The following is a 25,352-nucleotide window of genomic DNA, read 5'->3' on the forward strand; positions in this document are numbered from 1 at the left end:
CTTGTACAAAGCAAGTCGCTTCTTATTCTTATGCTATCGGCACCAGTGACAGCTCCTCTATTAGAGGCCTGCAGCAACCTGCCCTGTTTGGCTTGTCCTGAAATGAGGGCAGCACACTGGGGCTGAGCTGGGCAGAGGGCCATTCACACCATGGGCCAGACGCCACACACTGTGCCCTTTGCTGCAGCCCTGGGCGGCATCGCACCCACCTGTGGGTACCACCTCTCCCGGGCAGCAAGCATAACCTGGTTACAAGCTGGGACAGCTCAGGGTCCAGGCCCACAGACTCACAAAACCAGAAGGTACCCACTTATCCGTACAATTAAAAAATTGCTATGTATAGAACTTAACCAAGTGTATTTAGTACTTTGGAATATAATTTCCTTTAGTGTATTCAAAGCACTATGTCTAAAGTGATTCGTTCCTTAAGATAACTCCATAGAAACTTGACATTGCTGGCCGGGCGCGGTGGCTCACGCCTGTAATCCCAGCACTTTGGGAGGCCGAGGTGGGCGGATCACGAGGTCAGGAGATCAAGACCATCCTGGCTAACACGGTGAAACCCCACCTCCACTAAAAATACAAAAAAACTAGCCGGGCGTGGTGGCGGGCGCCTGTAGTCCCAGCTACTCGGGAGGCTGAGGCAGGAGAATGGCTTGAACCCGGGAGGCGGAGCTTGCAGTGAGCCGAGATCGCGCCACCGCACTCCAGCCTGGGCGACTGAGACTTTGTCTCCAAAAAAAAAAAAAAGAAAAAAAGAAAGTTGACATTGCTTACTCTGCCTCTCTCTCTCTCTCTCTCTCTTCTGTAATTCAACAGTCTGTAGAAGGTGATTAAAAATGGGGGTGCTTGGGAGTCAGACTCACCCAGTTAAGGATTCAGGGTGATAGTGGAGACCTCTGGAGGACCGAGGGGCATCAAGGCTGAACTTTTTAAGCTTTCTCCAAATTGCAGTGATATCATAGTATAGCCAGATGTTACTGGACAACTTTCAGCTTGGTCCCATTACCAGACCAGAATGTATATATACACTAGGAATTAATCTTAACATCAATCCTGTAATTATCTCGTGGCCTGCCCTATGATACCGCATCATACTGTGTTTGTTTGTTGAAAGCCTTAACTTGCTAAATGCAAATATTGAAAATGCACAACAAGTTTCATGTTTATGTTTTGGCCCTTGTATCTTAGAAAATCCTGGGAACCTCAGGAAATGGAAATAGGCTGGGGCTGTTGACCTGTAAGAGCCTCTGTTTGGTGGGAGGTTGGTTTTGGCAACTGATACCAATTTACAGAGAGGAAGAAAAATGACTTTGACCCAACTTGCCCTTTTTGGGAAAAGCATTTCAATATGGGGTGACGCAGTGAAGGAGCGTGCAGAGTGGTGTCACTGATTGTGAACCACAGTGTCATTGTCAGACCTGGACAACAGTTGGGACAGCCTGCATTGAATATACTCACTCTTAAAACAAACAGTTAGCAAAATATGTGGAAATTCCAGCAGGGCTGAACCCAAACACTAGTCAATTCACGCACCACTTCCTGGCTCCACCCTGGCTCTGACCACCCAGGACAGCAAGTTTGGTTGCTGGCCTCTTGGCTCAGTGACCTATAAAGACCTGGGAGTCACTGAGCAGGCGATGGCTCAGGTGGAAGGAAGGAAGATGCCTCTGGGATGGAGAGAGACTGTGTTCAGTATACATCCCTAGAAAGCATCTTGGTGGGGGGTCTGCTGGTTTGAGGGCACCCTGGGAATGTTGGATCACCCTAAGAAGTGGGGCACTGAAGATGCCTTTGGGAAAATCCAACTTGGGTATCTAGACCAAGGCAAGGGATACCTGACCTAATTGAAGTAGGGGCAAAAATGAGTTGGACTGCAGCTTAGAACTAGGGATTTGGGGCATCCTCCTACAGAGGGAAATTAATCTCAAAATGCAAGAGGTTTCTCAAATGCTTCGAGAGAGACTTAGGGAAAGGAGTAATCAAGAAGCACCCTGAGATGTCAGCCTCAAGGGAGCCGATGGACTCTGCCAAAGCCAGCCAAGGCAGCTCTGTGGGTAACATCTGTGCATGAGTCTATGAAACCCCAAATATCACAATATGATGACTACTGTGTGTATTTCCATCTGTAGTTTGTCTTGAAAGTAGAAGTTTTCAGAAGTTGAGGTGCATATCAAATGAGAAGAGGGGATGGCTCGGCTGTGAACTGCTCCAGGGCAGTGATCATACTCAATTTCATTTCTCTTGAGATGGAGTCTCACTCTGTCACCCAGGCTGGAGTGTAGTGGCACCATCTTGGCTCACTGCAACCTCTGTCTCCCAGGTTCAAGCGATCCTCCTGCCTCAGCCTCCCAAGTAGCTGGGATTACAAGTGTGTGCCACCACACCTGGCTAATATTTTTTGTATTTTTAGTAGAAACGGTTTCACCATGTTGGCCAGGCTGGTCTCAAATTCCCGACCTAAAGTGTTCCACCTGCCTCTGCCTCCCAAAGTGCTGGGATTACAGGCATGAGCTACACCTGGCCTTCATTTCATTTTGAGTAACATTCAGTAAATGCCTATTTGGTGCCTGACCTGGGCTAGGCCACTGCACATCCATGGGCTCATTGAATCCTCATGGTAACCCATTCTTCAGATCAGAAAATAGAGGCTGTGAGAGGTGACGTGGCTATCCCCAAATTAATGAAAAACAAGCAATAGAGCTGGGCTTGGAATCCAGGCCCTCAAAGTTCCCCTCTTTCCACTCAAGGCCCTCCTGCTCTTTTCTCTGTGTGTTTCCACAGCCCGGCCCCCAGGAGGCATAAATCACATCTGTCCCATTGATTTCAATGAGTGACAAAGATGACGATGTGGTCACAAAGGGGAGGAGATGCAGCCTTGTCATGACTCAATGGGTGGTCACTTTGGGCTTTGGGTCACCTGTTGGCCACAAGGGTTTCATCTGTAAAATGGGCACAGTGCTTCTTATCTGCCTCAAATTCGCAATATATTATTTAGCCAAATAAGAACAATAGTAACGACCCCAACATTTGTTGAGCATTTATTCTGTGCCAGGCCCTGTAGAGTGGGCTCAGGGCTCCATGGCCTGGGTTCAAATCCCATCTCCAACACTTACTGGTTATGTGACCCTCGTTGAGCACCAAAACCCTCTGTGATTCTCAGTTTCCTCATCTGTAAAATGGAGACAATCACAGTATTTCATTGGGTTGAGCTGGGGGTTCAATGAAGCCATGGACTTAAAGTGCTTAGCACAGTACCTGATATTGCTCAATAAATATATTAGGTCCTGTTGTTATGGTTGACATCATTATCTCATACATTATCTCATTTCATCCTCCCCACAACTTGATGAGCCTATTAGCCCCTATTAGGAAAGGGAGGCTCAGCACAGATGCTATTAATAATTAGTTGTCGGCCGGCGCGGTGGCTCACGCCTGTAATCCCAGCACTTTGGGAGGCCGAGGCGGGCGGATCATGAGGTCAGGAGATCGAGACCATCCTGGCTAACATGGTGAAACCCCATCTCTACTAAAAATACAAAAAATTAGCCGGGTGAGGTGGCGGGCGCCTGTAGTCCCAGCTACGCGGGAGGCTGAGGCAGGAGAATGGCGTGAACCCCAGGGGGCAGAGCCTGCAGTGAGCCGAGATCGGGCCACTGCACTCCAGCCTGGGTGAAAGAGCGAGACTCCGTCTCAAAAAAAAAAAAAAAAAAAAAAAATTAGTTGTCTGACCAAGGTCACCAGCTTGGCGCTGGATTCCTGGCCTCAGTGCTGTGGGCTCATGAGTCCAAGGGTTAAAATGGCTACACACCTGCACCGTGATATTGTTATCACTGTTACTTTTTAAAATTTTTTTATTTTTTTGAGATAGGGTCTCACTCCAATGCCCAGGCTGGAGTGCAGTGGCACGATCTCAGCTCAATGCAACCTCCGCCTCCCAGGTTCAAGCAATTCCCCCGCCTCAGCCTCCTGAGTAGCTGGGACTACAGGCACACGCCACCAAGCCCAGCTAATTTTTGTATTTTTAGTAGAGACAGGGTTTCACCATGTTGGCCAGGCTGGTCTCGAACTCCTGATCTCAAGTGATCCACCCTCACTGGCCTCCCAAAGTGTCGGGATTACAGGTGTGAGCCACCGCGCTGGGCCACTGTTACTGTTATTTTTATCCTGACATCATTACCGTAAGGCTGATTTAGAAGGCTTCCTGGTGAGCATGCTAGGTTGTCTCCAAGAGGCAGAGCATTTTACTGGTTTGCCTTCATTCAGACCCAGGCTGGCTGGGGCTGGCTACACCCTTTTGGTTTTCAGCAAGGCCAGCAGTAGCAGGCCAGTTGGTGTCATCCTGGTGACCTTGGATCCCCTAAAGATTGGGAAAGAAACGGCCCGCAAGCCTGTCCCCCACCTTTCTCATAATTTAGAGCTCTCTAGAGAAGCTGGGGGGTGCTGTCATTTACCTGGAAATAGGGAAAATCTTCTCAACAGATTTTGACATTTTGAAAGCAGCTAGCAAGCCCTGCGTCCCCAGGGGTGAGAAAATGCCTTGATCCTCAGGTGGCTGAGCTTGGGGAGTGGGATTTCGATATAACAGTGATCTCTCTATCTGATCACCTTTACCAGCTAGAGGCTGGAGGGAGGGGCAAGGGCAATGGGAAGGATGGAAAAGAGGAGAGAACCCCAAATGAAAACACCACTTCCCAGGTCCGGCCCCGTCCCCACTCGAACCTCGTACTAAGGGTTTGACTGATGCTTAATTGGTATCTGAAAATAGATGTTCCATCCCCAAACAGGGCACAGTTCTACCCCTTCTCTCTTAGGAAGGCAAACCAGACAGGCAAGGGAAACGATGCTTAATAAGAAAGGAAGGCAAGAAGGGCTTGATTTGAATCCTGAGTTTGTGCAGGGAGGATGGCCCAACAGCAGGTCCTCATGTTGTTTATCTGGGGTAGCTTTTTACTTAAGACGATTATTATAACAGCCTTTAGGATGATGTCAAAACTCAACATGTGTTCACGCCTGTAATTCCAGCACTTTGGGAGGCTGAGGCGGGTGGATCACAAGGTCAGGAGATTGAGACCATCCTGGCTAACTCAGTGAAACCCCGTCTCTGCCAAAAATACAAAAAATTAGCCGGGCGTGGCGGCGTGCGCCTGTAGTCCCAGCTGCTGGGGAGGCTGAGGCAGGAGAATGGCGTGAACCTGGGAGGTGGAGCTTGCAGTGAGCCGAGATCAGGCCACTGCACTCCAGCCTGGGCGACAGAGCGAGACTCCATCTCAAAAAAAAAACCACAAAAACACAACATGTGTCTCAGGTGGTGTTAGCACCAAAGGCAACCTCAGAGAACTAATAATGATCCTTAGCGAAAAAAATAAAAAGCAACATATCAGCCACAACCATTCCCTTGCCTATAATGCCTTTTTCCATTTTCTTTTAGGCAAACTTCTACCTGAGCTTCAAAACCCAGACCAGGTGTCACTTCTTGGGGTAAACCTTCCCTGGTATCTACTTGCTGAGGTAATTATGTTCCCAAAGCATTTTGTGCTCCTCTTTATTTCAGCACTAATTGAATCTTATGTGAGTCTCTCCCCACACACATCCGTGAGGGTCTCAAGGGCAGGGAAGCCTGTGTTTGCTCAGCTTTGCTTCTACCCCAGAACTACGCACACGGCAGGTTATCAAGTGAATGGTGACAGATGAACTGATTTGTTCTATCTACTATCCCAGGCCAGATGCAATTTGCAAGGGGGTGGTGAAGATGAGGGTCACAAAGTCATACACACAACGCACTCTGTGACTGGGGACTCGTCTCACTGGCCCCACCCACAGTGACCCAGACTGTTGGCAAGAGAAATGACTGCTAGATAAAGATTAATGCCTCAGCCTCCTGAGATGGACTTAAAAGAAGATGCCTCTAGGGCTGATTTTCTTTGAATCTAGACAAACAAGAGCATCGAAGAGGGTGGGGATCCCTTCTGGGATTCCCAAGGGGTCAGACCTCACTATTTCCTCCAGGAACTTATAGTCTCCTGTGTTAGGAAGTTCTTCCTCATGTCTAACCTGCATTCGTCCTGCTTCAATTGCATTCTATTGCCTTTTGCCCAGTCCTTGGCAGTTGCTTTGCTGCCCTGCCCAGCCATTTCTCAACCCCCACCTATCCCTTCCTGACTCAGGATTGCAGGTAGTGGCTGGGTTCCTCTTTGTGACATTAACAATGCTAGGCCCCCTGTGGATGCTTAAACAAGCCATAAATGTGGGTTACAACTGGAAGGATAGAAGCTGATTCCGGCTGGGAGCGGTGGCTCACGCCTGTAATCTCAGCACTTTGGGAGGCCGAGGCGGGTGGATCACAAGGTCAGGAGATCGAGACCATCCTTGCTAACACGGTGAAACCCCGTCTCTACTAAAAATACAAAAAAAATTAGCCGGACGTGGTGGTGGGCGCCTGTAGTCCCAGCTACTCGGGAGGCTGAGGCAGAAGAATGGCGTGAACCTGGGAGGCGGAGCTTGCAGTGAGCGGAGATCGCGTCATTGCACTCTTGCCTGGGCGACTGAGTGAGACTCCATCTCAAAAAAAAAAAAAAAGAAGCTGATTCCAGGAGCTCCAGGTACAGTGGCTTTGAGCAGGTAGAGGCGAGGTTAGGAGATCATCTTTCAGGATGGAAAAAAGAACATTGTGTTTTCTATTAATTTGCTCACCCTGGGAAGCATTTCTGAAGCCTGTGCCTATGGAGATGTCTAGCAGGCGGTAATAGGGCTGTTTCCTTTGCGCTGGAGCTGGGACTCAAATATATCTGAGCGCTAGGGTCTCTGCCTCCTGACAGCTCTATTTCTGAGAGGCATTTGGAAAATTGAATCTCAGACAACAGAGCCAGGATGATTTCGCAGGCCCGTGACTTTTTTTTTTTTTTTTCCTGAGGCGGAGTCTCACTCTCTTGCCTAGGCTGGAGTGCAGTGGTGCAGTCTCGGCTCACTGAAACCTCCAACTCCCAGGCTCAAGCAATTCTTGTGCCTCAGCCTCCCGAGTAGCTAGGAGTACAGGTGTGTGCCTCACGCCTGGGCTCATTCTCGTATTTTTAGTAGAGACGGAGTTTCACCATGTTGGCCACACTGGTTTCGAACTCCCGACCTCAGGTGATCTGCCCACCTCAGCCTCCCAAAGTGCTGGGATTACAGTCGAGAACCACCTTGCCTGGCCTGGCCCGTGGTTTTAAATCTTTTTGGGTCAAATCCTACATTAAGGATTTGATGGTGGGCAAAGACGAACGTAAATCCCAAGCTCTGCTGGTCTATCAGTCATGCTCCCAGGAACTCTCTAGGCTAAAACTGCTCGGCACACTTACTTCACCTTGGAAGATTCAGTCTTACCCCCTTTCTCCAGCACCCTCAAAGTCCTTCCCTTCTCCAAGCAAACGGAATTTCTATATTAGCAGAGGCCTTAAGGCAAGCTCTCCATATATCTTCCTGTCCTTTCATTGTCACATCCTGCAAAGGCTAGCGGTCCTTCTTCCAGCGCTGAGTTTGTAGGGAGAATGGCCCAACAGCAGGTAGGTCCTCATGTTATTTATCTAGGGTAGCTTTTCACTTAAGATGATGATTACGATAACAGCCTTTGATGATGTCAAAACTCAGCAAGTGTCTCAGGTGTTGTGAGCACCAAAGACAACCTCAGAGAACTAATAATGATCCTCAGCAAGAAAAAAAAGCAATGTTATCCGCCACAACCACTCCTTTTTTTTTTTTTCAGATGGAGTCTCGCTCTGTCGCCCAGGCTGGAGTGCAGTGGTGTGATCTGAGCTCACTGCAACCTCCACCTCCCAGGTTCAAGCAATTCTCCCACCTCAGCCTCCTGAGTAGCTGAGATTACAGGTGCCTACCATCATGCCCGGCTAATTTTTGTATTTTTAGTAGAGATGGAGTTTCGCCATGTTGGCCAGGCTGGTCTCAAACTCCTGACCTCAGGGGATCTTCCCACCCTGGCCTCCCAAAGTGCTGGGATTACAGGCGTGAGCCACCGCGCCTGGCCCCGCATTCCTTTTACTATAATGCCTGTTTCCTTTTTGTTTTAGGCAAACACTTATCTGATCTTCAAAACCCTGAGGTCCTGTTCTCAATGTTGAGCTCCACTCCTCAGGCTTGAAGACCAAAGTTATGCTTTGCAAGTTGGCATTGTCTAACTAAGGTGGGCAGTGTGCAAGGAAATGACCAGTCTGCCATTGCTCAGATTTCTGCATTGACTTTTAGTGTCTTTCTTGCGGAGTCAAGGCCTCCCCTGCTTCTTCCTTCGAACCGAGATCTCAAGGATTACTGCAGACCGGGAATTACAAATGGATACCTGGAGGTGGTAGGGGGTAAGCTAAATCAGTAAGGAAGGCTGGGTAACTTCCAAACAGGACATTTAGTTGCATATTTAAAAAGAAAGACTTTTGTGTGTGTAGAAATGAAGAATGTTGTTAGGTGCTTTTTTTTGTTTTGTTTTTGTTTTGAGACAGGTTCTTGCTCTGTCACCCAGGCTGGAGTGCAGTGGCACTAACAGGGCTCACTGTAGCCTCAACTTCCCTGGCTCAAGCGATACTCCCGCCTCAACCTCCCAAGTAGCTGGGACTACAGGTGCACGCCACCAGGCCCAGTTAATAGTTTATACTCTCTTTTTTGTAGAGACGGGGTTTTGCTATGTTGCCCAGGCTGGTCTTAAATTCCTAGGCTCAAGCGATCCACCTGCCTTGGCTTCCTAGAGTGCTGGGATTACAGGTGTGAGCCACTGTGCCCAGCCAAAAAAATCTTTCTTAAAACATGAACCTCTTGGTCCATCTCTACCTGCCACTTATAAAAATGACATGGGCCCAGGTGCAGTGACTCATACCTGTAATCCGAGCACTTTGGGAGGCTGAGGCAGGTGGATCACCTGAGGCCAGGAGTTCGAGACCAGCCTGGCCAAGATGGTGAAACCCCATCTCCAAAAAATGTAAAAATTACCCGAGTGTGGTGGCACACACCTGTAATTCCAGCTACTCAGGAGGCTGAGGGGGGAGGATTGCTTGAACCCAGGAGGCGGAGGTTGCAGTGAGCAGAGACAGCACCAGAGACTCTGTCTCACAATAAATAATAATAATAATAATAATAATAGAGACATGGGTACAAAAGGATTTAACTTTCCTCCTAGTATAAGAAATCAAAAGCACTAATGCTATTATAAATGACAATGGACACTGGCCTTAATAAGAGGGAGACAATAGGGAGTGGTGAGGTTTGTGGCCAACTAGAAAGCCACATCCTGTCTAGAGGGGGCAGCTGCTATTCAGTCTATGCAGATTGTTGCCCCATAAGAATATGGTTGGCTGCAGTGACTCACACCTATAATCCCAGCACTTTGGGAGGCTGAGAAGGGAGGATTGCTTGAACTAGGAGTTCGAGACCAGCCTGGGCAACATAGCAAGATCCCGTTTCTACAAAAAAATATAAAAAGTTAGCCAGGTCTAGTGGCACCAGCCTGTAGTCCTAGTTACTCGGGATGCTGCAGTGGGAGGATCTCTTAAGTCTAGGAGATTGAGGTTGCAGTGAGTAAGCTATGATGGTGCCACTGTACCTTGGCCTGGATGGTGCCACTGTACCTTGGACTGGAAGACAGAGCAAGACCTGTCTCTAAAAAACAACAAACAAACAAAAAAAAAACAGCGTATAGGCGCAATGTGGTCAGATTATATAATTTTTTTTTTTTTTTGAGACAGAGTCTTGCTCTGTCGCCCAGGCTGGAGTGCAGTAGCATGATCTTGGCTGACTGCAACCTCTGCCTCCTGGGTTCAAGCGATTCTCCTGCCTCAGCCTCCTGAGTAGCTGGGATTACAGGCACCCGCCACCATGCCCAGCTAATTTTTGTATTTTTAGTAGAGACGGAGTTTCACCATGTTGGTCAGGCTGGTCTTGAACTCTTGACCTCGTGATTTGCCTCCCTCGGCCTCCCAAAGTGCTGGGATTACAGGTGTGAGCCACCGTGCCTGGCCATAGATTATGTAAATTTTAAAGAGAAGCTGTAGATATATTTATGTAAAAATTTGAAACATTGGCAATACATTTAAAACATAACTATAAATTATCTCTTAATACAATACGGGGTAGACCTAACAAATCAGGTCTGCAGGCTAGATCTGGCCCGAGGCTGCCTCTTGCTGTCTTTCTTTCTCTTGTGAGGGCTCATATGATGGCCATACCTCTTTGTTTTGAATTAAGAAAGAAAATATAGAAGAGCTTTAAACCATATTTGTTCATTTAATCATGAATGGAGAATAGTTTCCTAATGCTTCAGTGTGGTCTTGACTTTTGAGGACAACATAATAAAAGTCTACAGTTGTGCTTTTCCACCAAACATTTCCAGATATCACTGCTAGAGGGACATTCAGCTAGTGGGACCATGGGTCTGACCTACCACAGAATCCCTGATGTCCTTATCTTCCTGGCCAGCCATCAGCGGCTAAGGAAAGCAGTTACCACCAAGGCTCTAGAATGTCTCATCCTCCCCGCTGAAGCTGTGTAGAGAACTTTGAGGCCTTGTTTAGGTGCGCTGGCAGTGAAAGCTGCCATCTGTAGGCCAAGCATCAGGAAAATGAAGCCGGTCATCACTTGCTGAGTCACCTAGGCCACCCCCATGTTTCGACCTCCCACCGGTCACGCCAACTTCACTGCAATGCAGAGGATGGGTTTGAAATTCACACGATTCCCTAGGGTTGCCCTGGCCTGGCCCATCAGCTTACTGGACAGGTAAGACAAAGGTGCTGCTGATCTCCAGCCAAACCTAGCCACTCTTTGGAAATGATATTGACTTAGCTGTCAAAACACATCTGAACAGATTGGCAGAGACTAAAAAGTTGGATAACAGATGGAGTTGGCGAGGCTGTGAAGAAACAGTCTCCTAGTTAGCCGGTAAGATTGATCCAACCACTATGGCAAGTACCACAAAAATCACAAATGTACGTGAATTTTGGCCCAACAATCCCACTTCTAGGAATTTATTCTATTTTGTTTTTTTGAGACAGGGTCTCGCTCTGTTGCCCAGGCTAGAGTGCAGTGGTGCAGTAATACAATCACAGCTCACTGCAGCCTTGACCTTCCAGGCTCAGGTGATTCTCCCACCTCGGTCTCCAGGGTGGCTGGGACAACGGGCATGTGCCACCATACCCAGCTAATTTTTGTTATTTTTTTTAGAGATAGGGTTTTGCCATGTTGCCCAGGCTGGTCTCAAATTCCTGGGCTCAAGTGATCCTCCTGCCTCGGCCTTCCAAAGTGTTGGATTACAGGCGTGAGCCGCCATGCCTGGCCTTTAGGAACTTATTCTATTGATAAGCCTGCCCATGTGCCAAATAAGGTATGGGCACAAGGTCACTCATTACGGCACTGTCATAGCAAAATATTGACAGTGGCTCATTATGAAGGACTGATACAATAAATTACAGGATGATCACAGAATGAAATATTATATGGCTATAAAAAAGGAACCAAGATCCTCTTTACCCACTAATGGGGACTAATCTATAAGATATGTTAATAAGTGAAAAAGCAAGATATAAAACAACATGTGTAATGTGCTCTTACTTGTGTAAAAATATTCAAAATTAATGTGTGTGTTTGTCAATGCATAAAACACGGCTAAAAGAACACACAAAAACCATTAATATTGCTTGATTCTGGGGAGGAAAACTATGTGACTAGGATTAGGAACAGATAGAGCTTTTCATCATGTATCTTTTTGCTTATTTATTTCAATATTTTTTTAGAGACAGGGTCTCACTCTGTCACTCAGGCTAGAGTGCAGAGGTGCTATATCACAGCTCACTGCAGCCTTGAACTCCTGTCCTCAAGTGATCCTCCTGCCTCAGTCGCCTGAGTAGCTAGGAACTACAGGTATATGCCATTATGCTCCACTAATTAAAAAAAAATTTTTTTTTTAAAAGAGATAGGGTCTCGCTATGTAGCCCAGGCTGGTTGTCTTTTTTTTCGAGATGGAGTCTTGCACTGTCACCCAGGCTGGAGTGCAGTGGTGCAATCTCGGCTCACTGCAAGTTCCGCCTCCCAGGTTCACACCATTCTCCTGCCTCAGCCTCCTGAGTAGCTGGGACTACAGGCGCCCGCCACCATGCCAGGCTAATTTTTGTATTTTTTGTAGAGATGGGGTTTCACCATGTTGGTCAGGCTGGTCTTGAACTCTGGACCTCAAGCTATCCTCCGCCTTGGCCTCCCAAAATGCTGGGGTTACAGGCATGAGGCACTATGACCAGCTACCATGTATCTTTTATATCTTTTAAATTTGGAATCATGTGAATGCCTTTCCCAGAAGAAACAGAATTAAAATGTGAAAAACGGCATCTCACAAACAATACCAAACCACACAAAAACAAAGTCGAGATCCACATCCGAGGATAAGCACTCCTGACCTCGGCCTCCCAAGCTCTCCAGCCACGGCGGCTGATTTCCATCATGACACAGTTTAGGATTTAGCTTCCCTCCCCTCAGCTTCCCACCTGGGAGGGGGTCGAGAAGGCGTGGGAAGCAGTGGTACCAGCTTGGCATCAAGCACTTACCTGCTCCTTCTCTGAATATGGGTTGTTGAGGACGACAGGCACATTGCCCTTCCCCCATAGGTCATTGAAGACTCGGTCGTTCTCCACGCCGAGGGGCAGAGGTTTGTGTGACTTGCCGTCCAAATCTCTGAAAGGCAAGGTGGGGCAGGTGAGGAAGGGGACATCAGGAGGGACTTGCTGGTTGCTTTGACCTGGAAGTCCTGAGTCTGTACAGAACCTCAGTAGCTCACTCACATAACTCCATATGAGCCAGCGAGCTTTGGGTACCCATCCTGCTGCTTCATAAAGACGGACAGTGACACGTGGGAAGGCAGCTCTGGGTGTCAATCACAAAGGGAGCTCATCCAAGGTGACCTTGACAGCTGATGTATCCCTAACTTTGTGGACATCATTTCAGGATGGCAAGGAGAAGGATTTTGCTTGTCCCTCTCCCTTCTTCATTCCATGGATCTGGGAACACAGGAGGCCTGTTTCCTAGTAATACTCCATGTACCATGAACCCCTGGACAACTTACTGTTCATGACACCTACCAGTGGAAAAAGTAGGAGGTAGGAAGGATAGAGAGGTCCTGTGGGCTTTGGGTAATAAGTTATTCTGACCCTGGCTAAGACTTTCGGCTTTGAACAATAGCAGCTCAGGACAAACAGAATGATTCGGAAAATAAAGGGAACATAATGACAAAAATAATAATACTATTAATAAGGAGAGATAGCATTTATTAAACGCTTACTATGTGCCAAGGACTTTACATGTGGGTTTTTAAAAAATATTATTTTATCTATATTAGACACGGGTTCTCCCTGTGTTGGCCAGACTGATCTCTAACTCCTGGGCTCAAGCGATGCCCCTGCCTCAGCTTCCCAAAGTGCTGGGATTACAGGCGTGAGCCACCATGCCTGGCCATGTGTTTTAGTGCATTTAACTCTTGTGACAACCCTTTGAGGCAGGAATGACTGTTTTTCGTTTTTTTCCCCAGCCTTGTCCTGTCATCCCAGCTGGAACACAGTGGCACAATCACAACTCTCTGCAGCCTTGATCTTCTGGGTTCAAGTGATCCTCCTGCCTCAGCCTCCCGAGTAGCTGGGACTACAAGGGTGTACCACCATGTCTGCCTAATTTTTTTTTTTTTTATTTTCTGTACAGATAGGGTCTCACTGTGTTGCCCAGGCTGGTCTCGAACTCCTTGGTTCAAGTGGTCCTCCCACCCCAGCCTCCTGAAGTGCTGAGATTACAGGCGTGAGCCACTGAACCTGTCCAGGAATGATTGTTAATCACCATTTTATGGAAGGGGTAAGGGAGACAGAGAAGCTAAGTTGCTCAAGGTCACACAGTGGCAAAGCCTAGTATTCCAGCCCACTCATCACATCCATTCTAAAGTAGGGGCTGTCACTATCATCATCATCATCATCACCACCACCATCACCATCATCTTTATCACGACCACTACCACAATCATCACCATAGCCACCATCATTCTCATTGTTACCATCATGATTATTGTAATCATCATCATCTAACTTTCCTCATCAGCCTCCACCATAATCACCATCACCATCATCATCACCATAATCACCCTCATCGTTATCATCCTCAACCTCATCATATCCTAATCTTCATGATCAGTGCCATCACCTTCATTAGCAGCATCACCATTGTCACCATCTTCTTCCTCCTCCTCGGCATCAGGACCACACCAGCATCTTCACGACCACCAGCATCATCCTCACAATCATCATTACACGAGGAAACTATAGTTCAGAGTGACTAAGTCACTAGCCTAAGTCACACGCTAGTGATGGTGGATTCAAACCCAGGCTTGTTCTGGATGCTAGCGCCTGACTTTTTTTGGAGACAGTCTCGCCCTGTTACCCAGGCTGGAGTGCAGTGGTGCAATCATAGCTCACTGCAGCCTTGACCTCCTAGGCTCGAGCGATCCTCCCACCTCTGCCCCTCCAGTAGCTGGGACTACAGGCGTGCACCACCCTGCCTGGCAATGTTTTAAGTTTTTTTGTAGAGACAGGGTCTCACTGTGTTGTGCAAGCTGGTCTCAAACTCCCAAACTCAAGTGATCCTCTTGCCTCGGCCTCTCAAAGTGCTGGGATTACAGGTATGAGCCACCATGCCCGGCCAGAATCCGACTTCTTACCCACTAAGTTTTCCTGGCTTCCTGTCCCTGAACTCTAACAGGCTCAGGATGAGGTGATCTCAGCTAGGTTCCACAGGCTGGCCACCCTCTAAGATGGAGATAGGAGTTGGCACCAAAATCCAGATGGCCTCATCAGACCTGTCTCACTCTCTGAGTCCTTCTACTCTCTGAATACTGCCCTCCTACTTCCCAACAGCCTTTCTCCTTTTGGCTCCCCTATCCAATTTGACTCTGACCATGGCCTCTGTCTGTTCCCTAACTGGGCAATGCAGCTTGCCCTGTGGCTCATCTTGGTTTGGGTCCCAGGCATTAAGACTGGCCCTTGTCTTGCCCTCTGTTCTATGGTCCTAGCTTAGGGGACTCCCCCATCCCCCAATCTGGTACAATGACAGTCACCTGGGATGAATCAGAAGCCACAGTCCAAGCTCTGAGAGCACGATCCCCAGTGACCCCTCCAGCGGCTCCCTCTGAGCCACCCAGATCCCCTGCCTGCAGTGTTCCATGCTGTCCCTGTGGCCCACATCAAAACCACTTCTGCTTTTCTGCCTGGAGAGGTTTGCATTCATCAGAGGGAACATTCTGTTTTACCCTTTAAAATGTCACCAAAACATACCCAGAGTGGCTCTTGATTACAGGCATTTCCCAAGTCAACGGCTACCTACATGATCGTAAACAGAAGTATGGTCTGTTGAGAGTGCTGCTCTAAATGTCACTCAGTTCCCTTTCAGCTCTGAAACTACTGATCCTATATCACATGACCATAAATGAGGATTCAGCAGAGAAGGGAGGAGGTTAATGCATTTGGAGCCTCTATAATATTCTGGGTACTTGCACAGAAGTTATTTCATTTAATTTCAACAGACATTAAAAGCCCCCATTTTACACATGACAAAACTGAACCCAGAGGGGTTATGTAAGTTTCCCAAGGTCCCACCGTAAGCATATAGTACAGCTGGGATTTGAAACTAGGTGTGACTGATGGGCTGCCAAGATCCTTCCTTTTTTATTTTTTGAAACAGAGTCTTGCTTTATCACCCAGGCGGGAGTGCAGTGGGGTGATCTTGGCTCACTGCAACCTCTGCCTCCCAGGTTCAAGTGATTCTCCTGCCTCAACCTCCCACACAGCTGGGACTACAGGCGCACACCACCACGCCCAGCTAATTTTTGTATTTTTAGTAGAGATGGGGTTTCACCATGTTGGCCAGGCTGGTCTCGAGCTCCTGACCTCAGGCGATCCACCTGCCTTGGCCTCCCAAAGTGCTGGGATTACAGGAGATCCTTCCTTTTTTAAAACAGAGGTAGGAAAAACTGGTTAGGATGCTTATTCTAAGCCAGAGGCTACAGAGCAAGTAACCCAACATCTCCTGCTAAGTGCAGCCAATTTACAAAAATTATAAGCTACAATTACCTAGGCAACTTGGAAATGATCACATGGTTCATCTTATGTGAATTTGAATTTGCAGAGAGAGTTTCTTTTACCATCATTCTTTTTTTAAAAAAAATCCATTAAGACTTTGTTTAAATAATGCAGTTGAAGTGTTTTGCCAACAAAAACTTAATTTTGGAGTCCTGTGTGATGAGCACATAAAATTTTTATTATTTATTTTTTTTTAGATAGTCTTGCTCTGTCTCCCAGGTTGGAGTGCAGTGGCGTGATCTTGGCTCACTGTAACGTCCACCTCCCAGGTTCAAGTGATTCTCCTGCCTCAGCCTCCCTAGTAGCTGGGATTATAGGTACACACCACCACACCCAACTAATTTTTAAAATTTTTTTTATTTTTAGTAGAGACAGGATTTCACCATGTTGACCAGCCTGGTCTTGAACTCCTGGCCTCGAGTGATCCACCCAGGAAGGATATTTTTAATATGGGACCATGAGAAACATCCAGGTTGAACTATTTTGCTTCCCTTCACCCAGAAGCAAAATCAGAAGGAGATTTAGTTCGATTCTCAGCCCACAATCTGTCAGTGATAACCAGGTCTGAGGGAAATATCTGGCTTATTGCCACAAGTCTGTTCAACCTGGATCCACCTGTTTGCTGGGGTTGCAGGAGCAGTGTAGCATGCTGGTTAAGGATGTGGCTGTGGATTGGGTGGAACTGGGTTCAAGTCCTGGCTTTGCTGGTTATAAACTGTGCAACTTTGGACACTTCATGTCTCACACTCAGTTTACTCATCTGTTAAATAGGGTCAATAATATCTGCAATGATTAAGGGAGGTAAAGCTTATAATACTTGGCAGTGTGGCACCTGCTATCAGTCTTACTGCTTATGGAATATCAGAAGGAAACAGAGAAAGAAACTTCTAGCTCTGTGTAGAACACTGACTATTCCTCTAAGTCATCTCTGTCTAGTAGAACTTCCTGTGATGATGGAAATGTCTCATATCTGCACAATCCCATGTTATAGCCACTAGACACATGTGGCAATTGAGCATTTGAAATGTGGTTATTGTCATGGAGGAACTAAATTTTAAATTTTATTTAACTTGGATTGATGTAAATTTAAAGAGCCACATGTGGCTTAAGTCTATATTGTCAGACAGTGCAGCCGCTGGAAACCTATTAATGTCTCCAAAGACTGGGAATTGAAGGCACACGTGGCTCCAACCAGGGGGCATCTTTGCTGGGGGCTGGGGCACACGTGGGGAAGTCTACACTCAGATACTTTCTGAGCTGCCATGTCTTGTTCACAGAGCCCAGGAATTCGATAATTCTCTACTACCCTTCCAGACTCCTACCTCCTATCATTCTTGGCCCTGATCTCTTGACTCCTCCCTCTTCCCGAGGAGCACACCACGTCCACCCTTACCTTTATACTTAAGCTCCCCAGGTTGCTCTTTCATGTTCCCTCTGCTGAGAGCCAACTCCTACTCAGCCTTGACGGCCCACTTCATGTCCCACCTGTCACGGGAATTTAATGAGATCATGCATGTAAAATGCCTAGCACATAATCGGCACTAACTAAACATGAGTGATGTATATTTCCATTTAGAACTAAGAAAACGGATGCCCAGAGAGATTAGGTAATTTGTCAAAGGTCACACAGCAGGCAACAAGAGCTTGCAGATGAGATGTCTCTTCACTGTTATCCCAGCTGAGAGTCACTGTGTATAGGGCTTATGTGGGGGGCCTCTGGGAGGGCAGCATTTGGTTAGACCTCATATCTGAGAAGAACCTCAAACTTGGATGTTAGATGTTCTCTCCAAATGTGGTAGATGTGTTGAATATACTCATCTGTGAAATATAAATTTAGTAACTCTGTTTTTTTATTATTATTATTTTATTGAGACAGAGTCTCACTCTGTCACCCAGGTTGGAGTGCAGTGGCACGATCTCAGCTTACTGTGACCTCCGCCTCCTGGGTTCAAGCAATTCTCCTGCCTCAGCCTCCTGAGTAGCTGAGGTTACAGACGTGCACCACCAAGCCTTGCTAATTTTTGTATTTTTAGTAGAGACAGGGTTTCACCATGTTGGCCAGGCTGGTCTCCAACTCCTGACCTCAAGTGATCTATCCGCCTCGGCCTCCCAAAGCGTTGGGATTACAGGTGTGAGCCACTGCGCCTGGCCTGTTTTATTATTTATTCACCAAAAATATATTGAGAGCTCACAGAAGGAGATGGACAGGGCCTCTTTTGACTTCTGAGATGTCTGGATGGTAACTCCCCTTTAACAGTGCTCATGAGTCTTGGTCTTGCCCAGCTGCCTGGAATAATCTCAGTTTAGATCAGAGTTTCTCTACTTCCCCACTACTGGTATTTTGGGCCTGATAATTTCTTGTTGCCAGGACTGTCTTGTGCGTTGGAGGATGTTTGAGCAGCATTCCTGGCCTCTGCACACTAGATGCCAGTAGCACCCCTATCCCCAAAATTGTCACAACCAAAAAAATGCTTCCAGATATTGCAAAGTGCCCCCTGGGAGGCAAAATTGTACTCCTAACCATTGAGAGGCACTCTCAGTGGTTTAGATGTGGCTGAGCATCTCAACGCAATGCTTCCAAGTTCCTCCCCATCCTTGCTCTATGCTCACCCAAGGATCTGCAAGGACTTATTTACCAGCTGTCCCTTGTTCCCAGATGTAATTGAGGAGCTCGCCTTCACTAAATGGCCCTCACCCACCCCTCTCAGGTGTCCTTCTCTCTCTGGAAAAGCCATCCCCCAATGAGCTTGGCATTGTGGTGGCCAGTGTGGCCAGGGCTATCAGGTGGTCACATTTGGTGGTTCTCAAACTCCAGGGTGCATCCAAATCAACTGAGAGGCTTGCTAAAGTTCAGATTCCTGGCCCGGCATGGTGACTCATGCCTGTGATTCCAGCACTTTAGGAGGCCGAGGTGGGAAGTTTGCTTGAGCCCAGGAGTTCCAGACCAGGCTGGGCAACAAAGTGAGATCCTGTCTATACACAAAATAAAAAAATTAGCTGAGCGTGGTGGCACCTGCCTATAGTCCCAACTACTGGGGAGGCTGAGGCAGGAGAATCACTTGAGCCCAGGAGTTTGAGACTGCAGTGAGCTAAGGTTGTGCCACTGCACTCCAGCCTGGGAGACAGAAACAGACCCTGTCACACACACACACACCCCTCAGATTTCTGAGCTCTCCTCCTAGAGAGTTTGAGTAGTGGGTCTAGGAGGGAACCCTAGCATCTGCATCATCAGAAGCACCCCAGGTGGTCCATGGACACACTGGGAGACCCATTTCCCTGGGAACTCTCTGGCCCAGGCTCTAGCAGTAGGCAGCAAGGTTCCTTCTGGGTTAGAGATGTCAGCCTTTCCTTTCTTCACTCCCATCCTCCTATAAGGCCAGGTGTGGAGCTCTGCCTCCCTCCTGGCAAGCATTTTCTATGCTTTCTGGCAAGAGCAAAACTAAACCCTTTTTTCTTCCACTTCACTAGCTGGATGATCATACCCAAGCCAAAAGTTGCTCTTGCATCTCTAAACCTTCTGAGAATCTTTGCCAGATCCTTCCAACTGAGGCTTCCTAAGAACCAGGTTCCCCGACCTCTTGCACGGAAGGAAAAGGGGTCCTGGGCTTGATTCCCCAGGAAGTTTGAAGGTGGGTCGATTGGCCCGTTGCTGACCACTTATGGACCCCGAGGACCTGAGAGGGGAGCAGGTGGGCCAAGCCTGTGTGCTGGGCACAGGGAGGCGGGGGCTGCTGCCTGTTCCGGCCAACCAGACAAGGAGGCCGCCGAGGAGCAGCTGGTGCTGGCAGGAGGCCCTGACCACATTTTTCAGCAGACACTCCACTCTCTCTGACTCCTGCTTCTCCTGGCCCTGCATGCTCCAACAGCCTTGGTTTCTGCCTCCACCTGGGCTGGAATGCTGGGAGCTGAGTTAAAGTAGGAAGACTTGGAGGCTGTGGAGGCTGGGTCTGGGGTCTCTGCAAAGCTTTTCTTCTAGATTTCATCATGCTTGGAGTGGGAGGAGTGGGAAGTTCTTGTTAAACAGAAAAGTATGCTTTATTATTATTATTATTTTTAGAGACAAGGTCTCTAAAGTACAGTGGCATGATCATAGCTCAATGCAGCCTCGAACTTCTGGGCTCAAGTGATCCTTCTGTCTCAGTTTCCTGAGTAGTAGGGATTATAGGCATGCACCACCATCCCTGACTAGTTTTTAAAATTTTTTGTAGAGATGGGGTCTTGCTCTGTTGCCCAGGCTGGTTTTAAACTCCTTGGCTTAAGCAATCCTCCTGCCTTGGCCTCCCAGTGCTGGGATTACAGGCGTGAGCCCCCACACCTGGCCAAAAGTATGCTTTCAAGAGGAGGAATTCTACCATGAATGCCGCAGCTGGGAAGTGAGGAGAGGGCCTTTGGGCTCTGTCACAATTGTGACTTAATTGCTAATATCACCAAAGCTGGGCAGGATTCTCAAACTCATATGTCTGCAGAAGACAGGCTAGTGAGGTCAATGTGTGGACTGGGCTGTTTGGATGCTGGAGGATGAGAGACCCCGCAGTGGCCCCTTCCCAGCTCCTGCCACTGGTTGCCTCACAAAGATGTAGATTCTGTGTTAACAGTTCTGTGGATTTTTTTTTAAGAGGTTGGAAACTTGATTTTGCCGCAAATTCACATTTCTAGAAAACTGCAGGCCAAATAAAACTCATGGGAAAACTGTGTGTGGTCCTCAACCTTGTTTGCAACCCTTGCCCTAAAAGGATGTTTTGAGTTCCTCTCTTTGGAGGAATGTTCCAGAGAGGTGGAATGGGGTAGTTCCTACGATCCAGGTGTGGCCTGGCCTGTGATGAGCGTGCCAGCCACTGGCCCTCACAAGGAACCTGAACACTAGTTCTAGGAGAAACCTTAAGGCTCACCTGGTCCACATCTCATTTGTAAAGATGGGGAAACTGATGCCCAAAGAAGTCAAAGGGCTTTCCTAAAGTACGTAGCTGGTGAGAGGTAAAGTGGAAGGAGGGGCTAGAAGCAAGGTCAGTGGACTTAGTCCAGTGAGACCTCATAGGGATGGCAACAGAGACAGCCATTGGTTAGCCCAGGGCCGGGCCACAGCATTGCTCAATGGCATTGGTTAGATGAGTGTGGTAGGCTGAATAACAGCCCAAGGATCTCAGGTCCTAAACCCTTGAACCTGTATATGTTTCCTTAGATGGAGAAAGGGTCTCTGCAGATATGATGGGATGTTAAAGATCTTGTGATGAGCAGATTCCCTGGGGTTATCTCCGTGGGCCAATTTAATCATGTGTCTTGATAAGAGGGCTACAGAGGGAGCTCTGACTACAGAAGGGATGTCACCACGGAAGCAAGATGCTCTGCTCCTGGCTTTGAAAATGGAGGAAGGGACCACAAGCTAAAGGATGCAAGGAATGCAGCTTTAGACCCTGGAAGAGGCAAGGAAATGAGTTCTCTTCAAGAGCCTCCAGGAAAGAAGACAGTCCTGCTGATACCTTGATTTGATATCAGCCCACTGAGACCACTTCAGACTTAAGACCGTCAGAATGATAAGGGAATAAAGGTGTATTGCTTTCAGCCACCAAGTGTGGGGTGATTTGTTATGCAGCCATAGGAAGCTGATACAATGAATGAATGGGGGCGGGGACAGGGATGACAGTAGGGTGGTTGATGGGCCCACCCATGTGTCCAGCCTCACTGCCCACCACTCTCCCTCCACTCACTATGCTCAAGCCCCTCGAGCTTTCTGTCCTTTGCACGTCCCAACCCTGTTCCTGTCTCAGGGCCTTTGCTCCTGCTGTGTCTTCTGCTAGGAACACCCTTCCCTAGATGTCACATGGTTGGTATCTTCTGGCCTCAGTACAAATGTTGTCTTTTCAGAAAGCCCCTTCCTGACCCCCCTATCTAATGCTCTACCAAACCCCAAGCCCCTTTTCTTCAAATCACTGTTTTATTTCCTTCACAGCATGTACCACTATCTAAGATGATTGCATGTGTCTATTTATTTATTTATTTAGAGATGGAGTCTCATTCTGTTGCCCAGGCTGGAGTGCGGTGGCACGGTCTCGGCTCACGGCAGCCTCTGCCTCCCGAGTTCAAGCGATTCTCCTGCCTCAGCCTCCTGGGTAGCTGGAATTACAGGTGTGTGCCACCACACCTGGCTGATTTTTGTATTTTTAGTAGAGACGGGGTTTCACCATGTTGGCCAGGCTGGTCTCAAACTCCTGACCTCAGGTGATCCACCCGCCTCGGCCTCCCAAAGTGCTGGGATTACAGGCGTGGGCCACCACACCCGGCCTATTTATTTTTGATTTCTCATCTCTGATATGATTCTCCAAGGGCAGAGGTTCACCATGGAATTCCCAGGGCTGAGTACAGTGTCAGGGGCAGAATGGATGCTCATGGAACATTCATTCCATGAAAGGCGGTGAGAAGCCCCCTGGTTACCCATCATTTTTGGTGGGCGGGCAGGCTTATCCCATGGCTCTTCCTCAGAATAAAGGGCTGGGTACCCACCTGGCAAGACGGCAGGGACACAGATGGGGAGAGGGTACAAAGCGAGAGTAATCCCCAGGAAGGGTGGATGGGGAGCTGCTTACGTTCAAGTGGGCAAGATCAGAATAAAAGGTGGAAATTCAGGTTGAAGGCTAAGTTACTGGGCTTAGTTCCTTAATTGAAATATGCCCCAGCAGAGGGATTCCAAGCTCTGAGATACATCAAGTGTGGTCTGGGAGGAGTGCTTCTGACTCAGACAGTCCTGGAATCAATACTGCCATTGGTCATGCTGAGGTCAGTTCTAATGGAGAATTCTAACTAGCGTGAGTCCTCGAAGCAAAAACCGAGCCAGTCCTCTTCCCTGCTGTAGAGAAAGCCATGGGGGAACAGAATCCTTCCTTCCTTCCCTCCCTCCCTCCTTCCTTCCCTCCCTCTCTCCTTCCTTCCCTCCCTCTCTCCTTCCTTCCCTCCTTCTCTCCTTCCTTCCCTCCCTCTCTCCTTCCTTCCCTCCCTCTCTCCTTCCTTTCCTCCTTCTCTCCTTCCTTCCCTCCTTCCTTCCCTCCCTCCCTCCCTTTCTCTCTTCTTCCTTCCCTCCCTCTCTCCTCCCTTCCCCTTTTCCTTCCTTCCCTCTCTTTTTCCTTCCTTCCCTCCCTCCTTCCTTCTTTTTCCTTCCTTCTCTCCTTTCTTCCCTCTCTCCTTCCTTCCCTCCCTCTTTCCTTCCTTCCCTTCCTCCCTCCTTCCTTCCCTCCCTCCTTTCCCTTCCTCTTTCCTTTCTTCCTTCCCTCCTTCCTTCCCTCCCTCTGTCCCTCCTCTTCCTTCCCTCCTTCCTTCCCTCCCTCCTTCCATCCTTCCTTCTGTCCCTCCTCCCCTCCCTCGTTCGTTCTCTCTTCTTTCCCTTCCTCCTTCCTTCCCTCCTCCCTTTCCTCACTCCTGCTTTCCCTCCATCCTTCTTCCCTTCCTTTCTCCCTTCCCTCCTTCCTTTCCTCTCTCCTTCTTCCCTCCCTCCTTCCCCTCCTCCTTCCTTCCCTCTCTCCTTCTTTCCTTCCTTCCCTGTCCCTCCTCCCCTCCCTCCCTCTTTTCTTCTTTCCCTCCCTCCTTCCTTTCTTCCTTCCTACCCTCTCTCATTCCTTTCCTCCCTCCCTGCTTCCCTCCCTCCTTCCGTCCCTGCTTCCTTTCTTCCTTCCTTCCTTCCCTCCTTCTTTCCTTTCATCTCTCCTTCCCTCTTTCCTCCCTTCCCTCCCCACTTCCTTCCCTCCTTCCTTCCCTCTCTCCTTCCTTTCTTCCTTCCTTCCCTCCTTCCCTCCCTTCCTCCTTCCCTCCTTCCCTCCTTCCTTGCTTCCCTCCTTACTCCCTCCCTCCCTCCTTCTTTCATGCATTCTTCCTTGCCTCCCTCCCTCCCTCCTCTAAGGCCTACCCTGGGGTCAAGCTTGGAACTAAATGATGGGGATTCAGAGAAGAATGGAATGTGGTGCTTAAATGGTGAGACCATGGGTGGGAACCAGCCTTGGATGAAGGATGGGCTTTTTCATCCCATCCTTCACCCTCTCTCCATCTGTGCCCCTGCCGTGTTGTCAGGTGGGTACCCAGCCTTTTATTCTGAGGAAGAGCCATGGGATAAGCCTGCCCGCCCACCAAGGTTGCAGTGAAGAAGAAAGGGCATGAGGACCACAGAGCAAATGAAGGGGCCCTTCCATAAATGGGGGAGTCCCTCCTGTTGCTTGAATGAAGCTAGGTCTTGGGCATCTCAATGTCAGGCATCCCTCAGGGTGACCTGCATTCGCTACAACAGGCCAGGGGCACCTTCTTTAGTAGATGACACCCAAGGCCTCAGTTTCCCTTTCAGACTCTGAGAAAATATTCCAGTGTCTTAAAAAATGTGATGGCTAGAAGCCAAGTGCACTGTGGCCAACAATGCAATCCAGAAAGTCAGTAGAGGCCAAGAGTACGAATTTGGGGTCAAGTCCTGGCTTTGCTACTTGCTAGCTGTGTGATCTGGGACAAGTGACCATACCTCTCTGAGCCCTGGTTTCGCCATCAGGAAAACAAAGTGCTGTGCAGAGAAAACCAATTAATTGACATAGAGACTGTAGCATGGAGCCAGGCTCACTTCTAGTGCTCCATAGAGATTGACCAGACTCATAATTATAAAACGTAGGCTTGCCACAGAAGGAGCTTTCTTCTCTGCCTCCGACAACTGAGCTGATTCTCTGGGGTTGAAATTGACTTCCATTCCTCCAGCCATATTCTCTTGCCTAGTGTCCCTTTAATTTTTTATTTTATTTTATTTTATTTTGAGACAGAATTTGACTCTGTCACGCAGGCTGGAGTGCAGTGAGGCGATTTCAACTCACTGCAATCTCTGCCTCCCAGGTTCAAGCGATTCTCCTGCCTCAGCCTCCCAAGTAGCTGGGACTACAGGCACGCACCACCACGTCTGGCTAATTTTTTTTTTTTTTTATATTTAGCAGAGATGGGGTTTTGCCATGTTGGCCAGGCTGACCTCAAGTGATCCACCTGCGTCAGCCTTCCAAGATGTGGGAGTACAGGCATGAGCCACCACACCTGGCCTGTCTCTTTAGTTCTAGACACTCACTATGAGGCTTCTAGGTAGAACCAGGAGAGCATCCTGTGGCCAGTGCTGTGTGACCCTGGGTAAGTCTTTTACCTCTCTGAGCCTCGCCCTCATCTATGAAAGTAGGCTGAAACTACACATCCTACTTACGGGGCAGAATTCAGACACTCTCG

The 25,352-nt window shown here is 48.3% G+C and overlaps 1 protein-coding gene across 4 annotated transcripts in view; it reads right to left on the bottom strand.

Moving 5' to 3' along the window:
* NOS1 (nitric oxide synthase 1) overlaps positions 1-25,352 on the bottom strand; it is a 153,485-nt gene that overhangs the window by 90,758 nt on the left and 37,375 nt on the right. For 2 of the 4 annotated variants that reach the window (NM_000620.5, NM_001204218.2), the window contains exon 3: positions 12,567-12,693. In NM_000620.5, the coding sequence (NP_000611.1) occupies positions 12,567-12,693 (127 nt within the window). Of the gene's footprint in view, positions 1-3,116; positions 3,173-6,054; positions 6,154-10,417; positions 10,512-12,566; positions 12,694-25,352 lie in introns of those variants that run through there. The other 2 variants (NM_001204214.2, NM_001204213.2) reach the window with 2 other exon arrangements.

Source organism: Homo sapiens, chromosome 12 (genome assembly GCF_000001405.40).
Source record: "Homo sapiens chromosome 12, GRCh38.p14 Primary Assembly".
NCBI classification, from domain to species: domain Eukaryota; kingdom Metazoa; phylum Chordata; class Mammalia; order Primates; family Hominidae; genus Homo; species Homo sapiens.